At 59.9% G+C, this 15,286-nt stretch overlaps 1 protein-coding gene across 1 annotated transcript in view, besides 1 other annotated feature; it reads left to right on the plus strand.

Moving 5' to 3' along the window:
* Nucleotides 1–15,286, plus strand: part of MUC5AC (mucin 5AC, oligomeric mucus/gel-forming) — a 43,186-nt gene that overhangs the window by 24,126 nt on the left and 3,774 nt on the right. The window contains exons 31-40 of the mRNA NM_001304359.2: nucleotides 77–10,447; nucleotides 10,705–10,904; nucleotides 11,407–11,581; nucleotides 12,032–12,282; nucleotides 12,409–12,592; nucleotides 12,934–13,201; nucleotides 13,798–13,976; nucleotides 14,310–14,397; nucleotides 14,539–14,642; nucleotides 14,799–14,830. Of these exons, the coding sequence (NP_001291288.1) occupies nucleotides 77–10,447; nucleotides 10,705–10,904; nucleotides 11,407–11,581; nucleotides 12,032–12,282; nucleotides 12,409–12,592; nucleotides 12,934–13,201; nucleotides 13,798–13,976; nucleotides 14,310–14,397; nucleotides 14,539–14,642; nucleotides 14,799–14,830 (11,852 nt within the window). The remainder of the gene's footprint in view (nucleotides 1–76; nucleotides 10,448–10,704; nucleotides 10,905–11,406; nucleotides 11,582–12,031; nucleotides 12,283–12,408; nucleotides 12,593–12,933; nucleotides 13,202–13,797; nucleotides 13,977–14,309; nucleotides 14,398–14,538; nucleotides 14,643–14,798; nucleotides 14,831–15,286) is intronic.
* Nucleotides 10,876–12,074: an enhancer, noted in NCBI's record as "CDK7 strongly-dependent group 2 enhancer chr11:1214179-1215378 (GRCh37/hg19 assembly coordinates)". NCBI's record gives its function as "activates an origin of replication core promoter dependent on BRD2, BRD4, P300/CBP, MED14 and CDK7 cofactors, with strong dependence on CDK7, by STARR-seq in HCT116 cells {active_cell/tissue: HCT116}" and the evidence as "EXISTENCE:reporter gene assay evidence [ECO:0000049][PMID:35650434]".

Here is a 15,286-nt window from a genome sequence, read left to right on the forward strand (position 1 = left end):
ACAGAGCCGCAGGGAGGGGCGGGCGGCCCCCAAGTGCGGGCCTCTCATGCTCAGCTGCCTTCTCTTCTGCCCACAGTCGTGAGCTCCACGCACACCCCCAGCAATGGCCCAAGCAGCGCGCACACAGGCCCTCCGAGCAGCGCCTGGCCCACCACAGCAGGCACTTCTCCCAGGACGAGGCTGCCCACAGCCTCTGCCTCACTGCCGCCGGTCTGTGGGGAAAAGTGCCTGTGGTCGCCATGGATGGATGTCAGCCGCCCTGGACGGGGCACGGACAGCGGTGACTTCGACACACTGGAGAACCTCCGCGCCCATGGGTACCGGGTGTGCGAATCACCCAGGTCGGTGGAGTGCCGAGCTGAGGACGCCCCCGGAGTGCCGCTCCGAGCCCTGGGGCAGCGTGTGCAGTGCAGCCCGGATGTGGGGCTGACCTGTCGTAACAGGGAGCAGGCATCGGGGCTCTGCTACAACTACCAGATCAGGGTCCAGTGCTGCACGCCCCTACCCTGCTCCACCTCTAGCAGTCCAGCCCAGACCACTCCTCCAACTACCTCCAAGACCACTGAAACCCGGGCCTCAGGCTCCTCAGCTCCCAGCAGCACACCTGGCACCGTGTCTCTCTCTACAGCCAGGACGACACCTGCCCCAGGTACCGCTACCTCTGTCAAAAAAACTTTCTCAACTCCCAGCCCTCCGCCAGTGCCGGCAACATCAACATCATCCATGTCGACCACGGCCCCGGGGACCTCTGTGGTCTCCAGCAAGCCCACCCCCACGGAGCCCAGCACATCCTCCTGCCTGCAGGAGCTTTGCACCTGGACCGAGTGGATCGATGGCAGCTACCCTGCTCCTGGAATAAATGGTGGAGATTTTGACACATTTCAAAATTTGAGAGACGAAGGATACACATTCTGTGAAAGTCCTCGAAGCGTGCAGTGCCGGGCAGAGAGCTTCCCCAACACGCCGCTGGCAGACCTGGGGCAGGACGTCATCTGCAGCCACACAGAGGGGCTGATTTGCCTGAACAAGAACCAGCTCCCACCCATCTGCTACAACTATGAGATCCGCATCCAGTGTTGCGAGACGGTGAACGTGTGCAGAGACATCACCAGACTGCCAAAGACCGTCGCAACGACACGGCCGACTCCACATCCAACCGGAGCTCAGACCCAGACCACCTTCACCACACACATGCCCTCGGCCTCCACAGAGCAACCCACGGCAACCTCCAGGGGTGGGCCCACAGCAACCAGCGTCACACAGGGCACCCACACCACACTAGTCACCAGAAACTGTCATCCCCGGTGCACCTGGACAAAGTGGTTCGACGTGGACTTCCCGTCCCCCGGACCCCATGGTGGAGACAAGGAAACCTACAACAACATCATCAGGAGTGGGGAAAAAATCTGCCGCCGACCTGAGGAGATCACCAGGCTCCAGTGCCGAGCCAAGAGCCACCCAGAGGTGAGCATCGAACACCTGGGCCAGGTGGTGCAGTGCAGCCGGGAAGAGGGCCTGGTGTGCCGGAACCAGGACCAGCAGGGACCCTTCAAGATGTGCCTCAACTACGAGGTGCGTGTGCTCTGCTGCGAGACCCCCAGAGGCTGCCACATGACCTCCACACCTGGCTCCACCTCTAGCAGTCCAGCCCAGACCACTCCTTCAACAACCTCCAAGACCACTGAAACCCAGGCCTCAGGCTCCTCAGCCCCCAGCAGCACACCTGGCACCGTGTCTCTCTCTACAGCCAGGACGACACCTGCCCCAGGTACCGCTACCTCTGTCAAAAAAACTTTCTCAACTCCCAGCCCTCCGCCAGTGCCGGCAACATCAACATCATCCATGTCGACCACGGCCCCGGGGACCTCTGTGGTCTCCAGCAAGCCCACCCCCACGGAGCCCAGCACATCCTCCTGCCTGCAGGAGCTTTGCACCTGGACCGAGTGGATTGATGGCAGCTACCCTGCTCCTGGAATAAATGGTGGAGATTTTGACACATTTCAAAATTTGAGAGACGAAGGATACACATTCTGTGAAAGTCCTCGAAGCGTGCAGTGCCGGGCAGAGAGCTTCCCCAACACGCCGCTGGCAGACCTGGGGCAGGACGTCATCTGCAGCCACACAGAGGGGCTGATTTGCCTGAACAAGAACCAGCTCCCACCCATCTGCTACAACTATGAGATCCGCATCCAGTGTTGCGAGACGGTGAACGTGTGCAGAGACATCACCAGACCGCCAAAGACCGTCGCAACGACACGGCCGACTCCACATCCAACCGGAGCTCAGACCCAGACCACCTTCACCACACACATGCCCTCGGCCTCCACAGAGCAACCCACGGCAACCTCCAGGGGTGGGCCCACAGCAACCAGCGTCACACAGGGCACCCACACCACACCAGTCACCAGAAACTGTCATCCCCGGTGCACCTGGACAACGTGGTTCGACGTGGACTTCCCGTCCCCCGGACCCCATGGTGGAGACAAGGAAACCTACAACAACATCATCAGGAGTGGGGAAAAAATCTGCCGCCGACCTGAGGAGATCACCAGGCTCCAGTGCCGAGCCAAGAGCCACCCAGAGGTGAGCATCGAACACCTGGGCCAGGTGGTGCAGTGCAGCCGGGAAGAGGGCCTGGTGTGCCGGAACCAGGACCAGCAGGGACCCTTCAAGATGTGCCTCAACTACGAGGTGCGTGTGCTCTGCTGCGAGACCCCCAAAGGCTGCCCCGTGACCTCCACACCTGTGACAGCTCCTAGCACCCCTAGTGGGAGAGCCACCAGCCCAACTCAGAGCACCTCCTCTTGGCAGAAATCCAGGACAACCACTTTGGTGACAACCAGCACAACCTCCACTCCACAGACCAGTACAACCTATGCCCATACAACCAGCACAACCTCTGCTCCTACAGCCAGAACAACCTCTGCTCCTACAACCAGAACAACCTCTGCCTCTCCAGCCAGCACAACCTCTGGTCCTGGAAATACTCCCAGCCCTGTTCCTACCACCAGCACAATCTCTGCTCCTACAACTAGCATAACCTCTGCCCCTACAACCAGCACAACCTCTGCCCCTACAAGCAGCACAACCTCTGGTCCTGGAACTACTCCCAGCCCTGTTCCTACCACCAGCATAACCTCTGCCCCTACAACCAGCACAACCTCTGCTCCTACAACCAGCACAACCTCTGCCCGTACAAGCAGCACAACCTCTGCCACTACCACCAGCAGAATCTCTGGTCCTGAAACTACTCCCAGCCCTGTTCCTACCACCAGCACAACCTCTGCCACTACAACCAGCACAACCTCAGCTCCTACAACCAGCACAACCTCTGCCCCTACAAGCAGCACAACCTCCAGTCCACAGACCAGCACAACCTCGGCTCCTACAACCAGCACAACTTCTGGTCCTGGAACTACCCCAAGCCCTGTTCCCACGACCAGCACAACCTCTGCCCCTACAACAAGAACAACTTCTGCTCCTAAAAGCAGCACAACCTCTGCCGCTACAACCAGCACAACCTCTGGTCCTGAAACTACTCCTAGACCTGTTCCTACCACCAGCACAACCTCTTCTCCTACAACCAGCACAACCTCTGCTCCTACAACCAGCACAACCTCTGCTTCTACAACCAGCACAACCTCTGGTGCTGGAACTACTCCCAGCCCTGTTCCCACCACCAGCACAACCTCTGCTCCTACAACCAGCACAACCTCTGCCCCTATAAGCAGCACAACCTCTGCCACTACAACCAGCACAACCTCTGGTCCTGGAACTACTCCCAGCCCTGTTCCTACCACGAGCACAACCTCTGCTCCTACAACCAGCACAACCTCTGGTCCTGGAACTACTCCCAGTGCTGTTCCCACCACCAGCATAACCTCTGCACCTACAACCAGCACAAACTCTGCCCCTATAAGCAGCACAACCTCTGCCACTACAACCAGCAGAATCTCTGGTCCTGAAACTACTCCCAGCCCTGTTCCTACCGCCAGCACAACCTCTGCTTCTACAACTAGCACAACCTCTGGTCCTGGAACTACTCCCAGCCCTGTTCCTACCACCAGCACAATCTCTGTTCCTACCACCAGCACAACTTCTGCTTCTACAACCAGCACAACCTCTGCTTCTACAACCAGCACAACCTCTGGTCCTGGAACTACTCCCAGCCCTGTTCCCACCACCAGCACAACCTCTGCTCCCACAACAAGCACAACCTCTGCCCCTACAACCAGCACAATCTCGGCCCCAACAACCAGCACAACCTCTGCCACTACAACCAGCACGACCTCTGCTCCTACACCCAGAAGAACCTCAGCCCCTACAACCAGCACAATCTCTGCCTCTACCACCAGCACAACCTCTGCGACTACAACCAGCACAACCTCTGCTACTACAACCAGCACAATCTCTGCCCCTACAACCAGCACAACTTTGTCTCCTACAACCAGCACAACCTCTACTACTATAACCAGCACAACTTCTGCCCCTATAAGCAGCACAACTTCCACACCACAGACCAGCACAACTTCGGCTCCTACAACCAGCACAACTTCTGGTCCTGGAACTACTTCAAGCCCTGTTCCCACCACCAGCACAACCTCTGCCCCTACAACCAGCACAACCTCTGCCCCTACAACCAGAACAACCTCTGTCCCTACAAGCAGCACAACCTCCACTGCTACAACCAGCACAACCTCTGGCCCTGGAACTACTCCCAGCCCTGTTCCCACCACCAGTACAACCTCTGCTCCTACAACCAGAACAACCTCTGCTCCTACAACCAGCACAACCTCTGCCCCTACAACCAGCACAACCTCTGCCCCTACAAGCAGCACAACCTCAGCTACTACAACCAGCACAATCTCTGTTCCTACAACCAGCACAACTTCTGTTCCTGGAACTACTCCCAGCCCTGTTCCTACCACCAGCACAATCTCTGTTCCTACCACCAGCACAACTTCTGCTTCTACAACCAGCACAACCTCTGGTCCTGGAACTACTCCCAGCCCTGTTCCCACCACCAGCACAACCTCTGCTCCCACAACAAGCACAACCTCTGCCCCTACAACCAGCACAATCTCGGCCCCAACAACCAGCACACCCTCTGCCCCTACAACCAGCACAACCTTAGCTCCTACAACCAGCACAACCTCTGCCCCTACAACCAGCACAACCTCTACCCCTACAAGCAGCACAACCTCCTCTCCACAGACCAGCACAACCTCGGCTTCTACCACCAGCATAACTTCTGGTCCTGGAACTACCCCAAGCCCTGTTCCCACCACCAGCACAACCTCTGCTCCTACAACCAGCACAACCTCTGCCGCTACAACCAGCACAATCTCGGCCCCAACAACCAGCACAACGTCTGCTCCTACAACCAGCACAACCTCTGCCTCTACAGCCAGCAAAACCTCTGGTCTTGGAACTACTCCCAGCCCTATTCCTACCACCAGCACAACCTCTCCTCCTACAACCAGCACAACTTCTGCCTCTACAGCCAGCAAAACCTCTGGTCCTGGAACCACTCCCAGCCCTGTTCCCACCACCAGCACAATCTTTGCTCCTAGAACCAGCACCACTTCTGCCTCTACAACCAGCACAACCCCTGGTCCTGGAACCACTCCCAGCCCCGTTCCCACCACCAGCACAGCCTCTGTTTCAAAGACCAGCACAAGCCATGTTTCCATATCCAAGACAACCCACTCCCAACCAGTCACCAGAGACTGTCATCTCCGGTGCACCTGGACCAAGTGGTTTGACATAGACTTCCCATCCCCTGGACCCCACGGCGGGGACAAGGAAACCTACAACAACATCATCAGGAGTGGGGAAAAAATCTGCCGCCGACCTGAGGAGATCACCAGGCTCCAGTGCCGAGCCGAGAGCCACCCGGAGGTGAGCATTGAACACCTGGGCCAGGTGGTGCAGTGCAGCCGTGAAGAGGGCCTGGTGTGCCGGAACCAGGACCAGCAGGGACCCTTCAAGATGTGCCTCAACTACGAGGTGCGTGTGCTCTGCTGCGAGACCCCTAAAGGTTGCCCCGTGACCTCCACACCTGTGACAGCTCCTAGCACCCCTAGTGGGAGAGCCACCAGCCCAACTCAGAGCACTTCCTCTTGGCAGAAATCCAGGACAACCACTTTGGTGACAACCAGCACAACCTCCACTCCACAGACCAGCACAACCTCTGCTCCTACAACCAGCACAACCTCTGCTCCCACAACCAGCACAACTTCTGCCCCTACAACCAGCACAACCTCCACTCCACAGACCAGCATATCCTCTGCCCCTACAAGCAGCACAACCTCGGCTCCTACAAGCAGCACAATCTCTGCTCGTACAACCAGCATAATCTCTGCCCCTACAACCAGCACAACCTCTTCCCCTACAACCAGCACAACCTCTGCTACTACAACCAGCACAACCTCTGCCCCTACAAGCAGCACAACCTCCACTCCACAGACCAGCAAAACCTCAGCTGCTACAAGCAGCACAACCTCCGGTTCTGGAACTACTCCCAGCCCTGTTACCACCACCAGCACAGCCTCTGTTTCAAAGACCAGCACAAGCCATGTTTCTGTATCCAAGACAACCCACTCCCAACCAGTCACCAGAGACTGTCATCCCCGGTGCACCTGGACCAAATGGTTTGATGTGGACTTTCCATCCCCTGGACCCCACGGTGGGGACAAGGAAACCTACAACAACATCATCAGGAGTGGGGAAAAAATCTGCCGCCGACCTGAGGAGATCACCAGGCTCCAGTGCCGAGCCAAGAGCCACCCGGAGGTGAGCATCGAACACCTGGGCCAGGTGGTGCAGTGCAGCCGCGAAGAGGGCCTGGTGTGCCGGAACCAGGACCAGCAGGGACCCTTCAAGATGTGCCTCAACTACGAGGTGCGTGTGCTTTGCTGCGAGACCCCCAAAGGCTGCCCCGTGACCTCCACATCTGTGACAGCTCCTAGCACCCCTAGTGGGAGAGCCACCAGCCCAACTCAGAGCACCTCCTCTTGGCAGAAATCCAGGACAACCACTTTGGTGACAAGCAGCATAACCTCCACTACACAGACCAGCACAACCTCTGCCCCTACAACTAGCACAACCCCTGCTTCTATACCCAGCACAACCTCTGCCCCAACAACCAGCACAACCTCTGCTCCCACAACGAGCACAACTTCTGCCCCTACAACCAGCACAACCTCCACTCCACAGACCACCACATCCTCTGCCCCTACAAGCAGCACAACCTCGGCTCCTACCACCAGCACAATCTCTGCCCCTACAACCAGCACAATCTCTGCCCCTACAACCAGCACAACCTCTGCTCCCACAGCCAGCACAACGTCAGCTCCTACGAGCACTTCCTCGGCTCCTACAACCAACACAACCTCTGCCCCTACAACTAGCACTACCTCTGCTCCCATAACCAGCACAATCTCTGCCCCTACAACCAGCACAACCTCCACTCCACAGACCAGCACAATCTCTTCCCCTACAACCAGCACAACCTCCACTCCGCAGACCAGCACAACCTCTTCCCCTACAACTAGCACAACCTCAGCTCCTACAACCAGCACAACTTCTGCCCCTACAACCAGCACAACCTCCACTCCACAGACCAGCATATCCTCTGCCCCTACAAGCAGCACAACCTCTGCTCCTACAGCCAGCACAATCTCTGCCCCTACAACCAGCACAACCTCTTTCCATACAACCAGCACAACCTCTCCCCCTACAAGCAGCACAAGCTCCACTCCACAGACCAGCAAAACCTCAGCTGCTACAAGCAGCACAACCTCCGGTTCTGGAACTACTCCCAGCCCCGTTCCCACCACCAGCACAGCCTCTGTTTCAAAGACCAGCACAAGCCATGTTTCTGTATCCAAGACAACCCACTCCCAACCAGTCACCAGAGACTGTCATCCCCGGTGCACCTGGACCAAGTGGTTTGACGTGGACTTTCCATCCCCTGGACCCCACGGTGGGGACAAGGAAACCTACAACAACATCATCAGGAGTGGGGAAAAAATCTGCCGCCGACCTGAGGAGATCACCAGGCTCCAGTGCCGAGCCGAGAGCCACCCGGAGGTGAGCATCGAACACCTGGGCCAGGTGGTGCAGTGCAGCCGGGAAGAGGGCCTGGTGTGCCGGAACCAGGACCAGCAGGGACCCTTCAAGATGTGCCTCAACTACGAGGTGCGTGTGCTCTGCTGCGAGACCCCCAAAGGCTGCCCCGTGACCTCCACACCTGTGACAGCTCCTAGCACCCCTAGTGGGAGAGCCACCAGCCCAACTCAGAGCACTTCCTCTTGGCAGAAATCCAGGACAACCACTTTGGTGACAACCAGCACAACCTCCACTCCACAGACCAGCACAACCTCTGCCCCTACAACCAGCACAATCCCTGCTTCTACACCCAGCACAACCTCTGCCCCTACAACCAGCACAACCTCTGCCCCTACAACCAGCACGACCTCAGCTCCTACACACAGAACGACTTCTGGTCCTACAACCAGCACAACCTTGGCTCCTACAACCAGCACAACCTCTGCTCCAACAACCAGCACAAACTCTGCTCCTACAACCAGCACAATCTCTGCCTCTACAACCAGCACAATCTCTGCCCCTACAACCAGCACAATCTCTTCCCCTACAAGCAGCACAACCTCCACTCCACAGACCAGCAAAACCTCAGCTGCTACAAGCAGCACAACCTCCGGTTCTGGAACTACTCCAAGCCCTGTTCCCACCACCAGCACAACCTCTGCCTCTACAACCAGCACAACTTCTGCTCCTACAACCAGCACAACCTCTGGTCCTGGAACTACTCCAAGCCCTGTTCCCAGCACCAGTACAACCTCTGCTGCTACAACCAGCACAACCTCTGCTCCTACAACCAGAACAACATCTGCTCCTACAAGCAGCATGACCTCTGGTCCTGGAACTACTCCCAGCCCTGTTCCCACCACCAGCACAACCTCTGCTCCTACAACTAGCACAACCTCTGGTCCTGGAACTACTCCCAGCCCTGTTCCCACCACCAGCACAACCTCTGCTCCTATAACCAGCACAACCTCTGGTCCTGGAAGTACTCCCAGCCCTGTTCCCACCACCAGCACAACCTCTGCTCCTACAACCAGCACAACCTCTGCCTCTACAGCCAGCACAACCTCTGGTCCTGGAACTACTCCCAGCCCTGTTCCCACCACCAGCACAACCTCTGCTCCTACAACCAGAACAACCTCTGCCTCTACAGCCAGCACAACCTCTGGTCCTGGAAGTACTCCCAGCCCTGTTCCCACCACCAGCACAACCTCTGCTCCTACAACCAGAACAACCCCTGCCTCTACAGCCAGCACAACCTCTGGTCCTGGAACTACTCCCAGCCCTGTTCCCACCACAAGCACAACCTCTGCTTCTACAACCAGCACAATCTCTCTCCCTACAACCAGCACAACCTCTGCTCCTATAACCAGCATGACCTCTGGTCCTGGAACTACTCCCAGCCCTGTTCCCACCACCAGCACAACCTCTGCTCCTACAACCAGCACAACCTCTGCCTCTACAGCCAGCACAACCTCTGGTCCTGGAACTACTCCCAGCCCTGTTCCCACCACCAGCACAACCTCTGCTCCTACAACCAGCACAACCTCTGCCTCTACAGCCAGCACAACCTCTGGTCCTGGAACTTCTCTCAGCCCTGTTCCCACCACGAGCACAACCTCTGCTCCTACAACTAGCACAACCTCTGGTCCTGGAACTACTCCCAGCCCTGTTCCCACCACCAGCACAACCTCTGCTCCTACAACCAGCACGACCTCTGGTCCTGGAACTACTCCCAGCCCCGTTCCCACCACCAGCACAACCCCTGTTTCAAAGACCAGCACAAGCCATCTTTCTGTATCCAAGACAACCCACTCCCAACCAGTCACCAGTGACTGTCATCCTCTGTGCGCCTGGACAAAGTGGTTCGACGTGGACTTCCCATCCCCTGGACCCCACGGCGGGGACAAGGAAACCTACAACAACATCATCAGGAGTGGGGAAAAAATCTGCCGCCGACCTGAGGAGATCACCAGGCTCCAGTGCCGAGCCGAGAGCCACCCGGAGGTGAACATTGAACACCTGGGTCAGGTGGTGCAGTGCAGCCGTGAAGAGGGCCTGGTGTGCCGGAACCAGGACCAGCAGGGACCCTTCAAGATGTGCCTCAACTACGAGGTGCGCGTGCTCTGCTGCGAGACCCCCAGAGGCTGCCCGGTGACCTCTGTGACCCCATATGGGACTTCTCCTACCAATGCTCTGTATCCTTCCCTGTCTACTTCCATGGTATCCGCCTCCGTGGCATCCACCTCTGTGGCATCCAGCTCTGTGGCATCCAGCTCTGTGGCTTACTCCACCCAAACCTGCTTCTGCAACGTGGCTGACCGGCTCTACCCTGCAGGTTCGTGAGTGTTTCTGGTGCAATTGTTTCTGAGCTCACCCTGGTCAGTTTTTTATCCAGGAACGCCAAGCTGTGATGATGATAGGAGTCTCTGCTCTTTGTGGCACAGGCTCATTGTCACAGAGTGGCTGCTGGCATTCTCTGAAATTTTTTCCCATTACACAGGTGGTAGAAAGTGCCCCTCTGGCTCTGGGAGTTTTTTGCTTCTCCTTTGAGCAGGACTCCACTAAAGGCTGCCATGTCCCTTCCTCTTACAGGATCCACCATATACCGCCACAGAGACCTCGCTGGCCATTGCTATTATGCCCTGTGTAGCCAGGACTGCCAAGTGGTCAGAGGGGTTGACAGTGACTGTCCGTCCACCACGCTGCCTCCTGCCCCAGCCACGTCCCCTTCAATATCCACCTCCGAGCCCGTCACTGAGCTGGGATGCCCAAATGCGGTTCCCCCCAGAAAGGTAACCCCCTACTTCTCACCCTTCTGAAGGCTCAGGGGCTCCTACAGGGAACTTGAATGTCTTTGCAATTAGTCTTCAGCTGCAAAGTCTTGAGAAGGTCACTGGCGCTAGTGGAGGCAGCCCGGCCGTCAGGAGAGGGCCATGCTGTAGCCCGGCGTCTCTGATCACCCTGGGCTTCCCAGGCACGTGCTTTCCAGACACTGGGTGTGTGGGGCCGAAGGCTGAGGCTGTGCTGAGGACAGCCAGGGCCAGAGCAGGTGGATGAGGCTGCACAGCCAGGGAGTGTGGCAGAGCCAGGGAGGAGCCACTCCCACACCAGAGGCCCCTGCCCGGGCCAGCTCGGTGTCTGGGGTGGGTGCTGAGGGTGGGGCAGGAAGGAAACTGGGGCACAGCCACCCTCCCCTGTCCCCACACGGGACTCTCGGGACTGTGACCCCGAGAACCAAGGGGTGCCCCGGAGATCGGGAGAGGCCGGACCCTGCAGGTCTCTGTGCTTCTGCAGAAAGGTGAGACCTGGGCCACACCCAACTGCTCCGAGGCCACCTGTGAGGGCAACAACGTCATCTCCCTGCGCCCGCGCACGTGCCCGAGGGTGGAGAAGCCCACTTGTGCCAACGGCTACCCGGCTGTGAAGGTGGCTGACCAAGATGGCTGCTGCCATCACTACCAGTGCCAGTGTGAGTGGAGCGCCGAGCGGGACCCAGGGCAGCCGGGGCAGCCACTCCCCACCCAGGTGGAAATGGGCGGGGCAGAGGAGGGGGCTTGGCTGAAGCAGAAAAGAATTGGGTGGGACAGCAGGAAGGACTTCCCAGCATCAAGGCGGGGCCGCATGGGGCCGAGCCTCCCCGCTTAGGGGTGCTGAGTGAATCCCTGTGAGCCTCGGAGCAGCCTGGCTGGAGAAGGTGGAGGAGTCTGTCCCTGCCTCGCTCCAGCCTTGTCAAGCGCCCGCTGGATGGAGCTCTGTGCGGACGCTGGCCACGTGTGTTCTGATGACGTGAGGGTCTTGTGCGCCCTGTGAGATGAGACGGTGGGGGGTCAGGGACAGATGTGACCTGTTGGGAGGAAAGCCCCAGGGCCATGGTGCCACCACCCGAGCCACCCGTAAGGCTGCCCCTGGGGCCTGGCAGGTGTGTGCAGCGGCTGGGGTGACCCCCACTACATCACCTTCGACGGCACCTACTACACCTTCCTGGACAACTGCACGTACGTGCTGGTGCAGCAGATTGTGCCCGTGTATGGCCACTTCCGCGTGCTCGTCGACAACTACTTCTGCGGTGCGGAGGACGGGCTCTCCTGCCCGAGGTCCATCATCCTGGAGTACCACCAGGACCGCGTGGTGCTGACCCGCAAGCCAGTCCACGGGGTGATGACAAACGAGGTGGGGGCGCGCCCGGTGTGCCGCGGAGGGGGTGGGGGACGCGGCTTTCCCGGCAAGAGCCTGAGCAGCGGCTGACCGCCCGCCCGCCTGCCTTCTGACTTCCCGTCGACCACGCCCTGCGTCCAGATCATCTTCAACAACAAGGTGGTCAGCCCCGGCTTCCGGAAAAACGGCATCGTGGTCTCGCGCATCGGCGTCAAGATGTACGCGACCATCCCGGAGCTGGGAGTCCAGGTCATGTTCTCCGGCCTCATCTTCTCCGTGGAGGTGCCCTTCAGCAAGTTTGCCAACAACACCGAGGGCCAGTGCGGTGAGGCCACAGGGCTCCCGGGCATCGTCTGGCATTCGCGGGGGCGGGGGTGCCGGGCAGGGGCGAGGCCACCACGTGCCGCGTGTGCCGGTGTCTCTGCTTTCTGGCTGCTCTGCTGAGTGCAGGCCACAGGCATGAGGCTTACGCCTGCCGGTACCTGCAGCTCCCCAGTACCATAGGGACTGTCCCAGGGTTGTTCTCGGGGGACAGTGAGGCACAGGCAGGGCCCGCTGCAGTTCACCAAGTTGTGACCCTGAGACACCAGGGTCCTGTCCCCCAGCTGGGGGTGGGGCCAGCCGGCTCTGCTGTCCAGCAGCCTGACCCCCACCGCGTCTGCCCAGGCACTTGCACCAACGACAGGAAGGATGAGTGCCGCACGCCTAGGGGGACGGTGGTCGCTTCCTGCTCCGAGATGTCCGGCCTCTGGAACGTGAGCATACCCGACCAGCCAGCCTGCCACCGGCCTCACCCGACGCCCACCACGGTCGGGCCCACCACAGTTGGGTCTACCACGGTCGGGCCCACCACAGTTGGGTCTACCACGGTCGGGCCCACCACACCGCCTGCTCCGTGCCTGCCATCACCCATCTGCCAGCTGATTCTGAGCAAGTGAGACTTGGGTGCAAGGGAGGGAGGGTCAGTGTGGCCGCCCCACCTCCCACCCTTCCAAGGGCTGGAGGGGAAGAAGCGCATTTTCAGGGGGCTCCTGAGAGGAAACGAGAGCTGCTGGTACCACAGACCAAGGAGGGGTGGGTGTTGGGGAGAAGTGGGTGCCGGGGAGGGGTGGGCAGTGGGGAGGGGCGGGTGCCGGGAAGGGGTGGTTGTGGCTGGAATGCTGCCAAGGGGTCACCAGGGTTGGCCGGCTGGGCCGTCTCTGAGGCTCTCTGCTGGCTCAGGTGTATGGACGGGGGCATCGGTCACCACCCCCAGGCAGCTTCCAGGTTTGCAGGGCAGGGGCTGGGGGGGCCAGGAAGAAGAACTTGCAGAAATAAATGGATGATGCCATCTGGACCCCCACCCCCCGCCCCCAAGCACACAGAATGTGTGGAAGGAGCCCGTCCGGGGATACAGGAGGGCGGCCACACACCAGTGGCTGCTCTGGGACTCGCCTCGCCTGGAGACTGCCCTGAAGCCTGGGAGCCTGACGTGGAGCAGGCAGGTGGCCGGAGAGGCTGCACCCAGCACCCTGCCCATCCCTCCCACAGGGTCTTTGAGCCGTGCCACACTGTGATCCCCCCACTGCTGTTCTATGAGGGCTGCGTCTTTGACCGGTGCCACATGACGGACCTGGATGTGGTGTGCTCCAGCCTGGAGCTGTACGCGGCACTCTGTGCGTCCCACGACATCTGCATCGATTGGAGAGGCCGGACCGGCCACATGTGCCGTGAGTGCCACCACTGTCCTCAGGGTCCCAAGTCGCTTGTGAGGGGCACAGGCACGCCGGACGGACCAACAGGGTGGGCTCGGGCAGTCAGGGGGGGACCTGGAGGAGGAGGGGGCAGCCCCAGGGCAGAGTGCACCCAGTTCCCTGGAGAGAAGGGAGGGCGTCCACGTCTGGGAGCCCGTGGCGGGGCACTGGGGTGTGGGAGGCCGTAGCCAGGCCCAGGCCCACAGGTGGCTGCGGGCAGCTCCGGAGCAGATGTTGGTGCCCAGCGGCCCGCGTTGCTCTGGGTGGGTGCCCTCCCACCCTCTCAGGTGTGGCTTCCCCTCCCCACAGCATTCACCTGCCCAGCCGACAAGGTGTACCAGCCCTGCGGCCCGAGCAACCCCTCCTACTGCTACGGGAATGACAGCGCCAGCCTCGGGTAGGCACCCTCCCTCCTGGCCCTGCCATGGGCTGCTGGAGCCACCCAGTCCCCAGCCTCCCGCTGCATCTCCCACTCCCAGGCTGGGGTCCTTCTCACCGGAGGGAAAAAGGAGACCCACCAACCCTATGCTCTCTACAGGGCTCTGCCGGAGGCCGGCCCCATCACCGAAGGCTGCTTCTGTCCGGAGGGCATGACCCTCTTCAGCACCAGTGCCCAAGTCTGCGTGCCCACGGGCTGCCCCAGTACGTGCCCCAGGCCGGGGCTGGGGGGTGTGGCAGGACTGGGCCTGTGACTGTTGGCCAGGTCCTGGGGTCTACCCTGGCCCCAATATGGGACCCTGCCTCTCGCCCCTATTGTGGTGGCTGACCCCCAGTAACCTCAGATCTCTCTCCTTCCAGGGTGTCTGGGGCCCCACGGAGAGCCGGTGAAGGTGAGTGGAAGGCATGGCCCAAGAGGGCACTGGGGTCCAAGAGCCCGAGGAGGGAGGCTCTTGAAACACCGGCCCCAGAAATGGTCAGGTGGGGCTCAGGGGTCGGGGTGTCCTCTCTGTGTCAGAGGCCCAGAGAAAGGGCTGCGGGAGGAGCCGGGCTCCCAGAAAGACTCGGGATCTCCCTTCCCAGGTACCCACTCTGTCCGTATTGGGGACGGTGCCGGGGCGTCTGTCCTGGTGTTGCTCTGTGGGTGGGTGCTGGCCCCGAGGCTGGCTGTGCTCTTCCCTTCCTTGGGACGCCCCTTCTGCCCAGCCAAGACTGTGGAGGTGTGAGGTGGGGGGCGCAGGCCAGTCACCCCACAGCCTGCCCACCTTGCAGAGCTTTGTGCCCATCCCTGGGCCCTACCCTGCACTTTTGAAGCCCTACTCCTGCTGGGTCCTCAGTGCAGGCCACAC

Source organism: Homo sapiens, chromosome 11 (assembly GCF_000001405.40).
Source record: "Homo sapiens chromosome 11, GRCh38.p14 Primary Assembly".
In the NCBI taxonomy this organism is placed as follows: domain Eukaryota; kingdom Metazoa; phylum Chordata; class Mammalia; order Primates; family Hominidae; genus Homo; species Homo sapiens.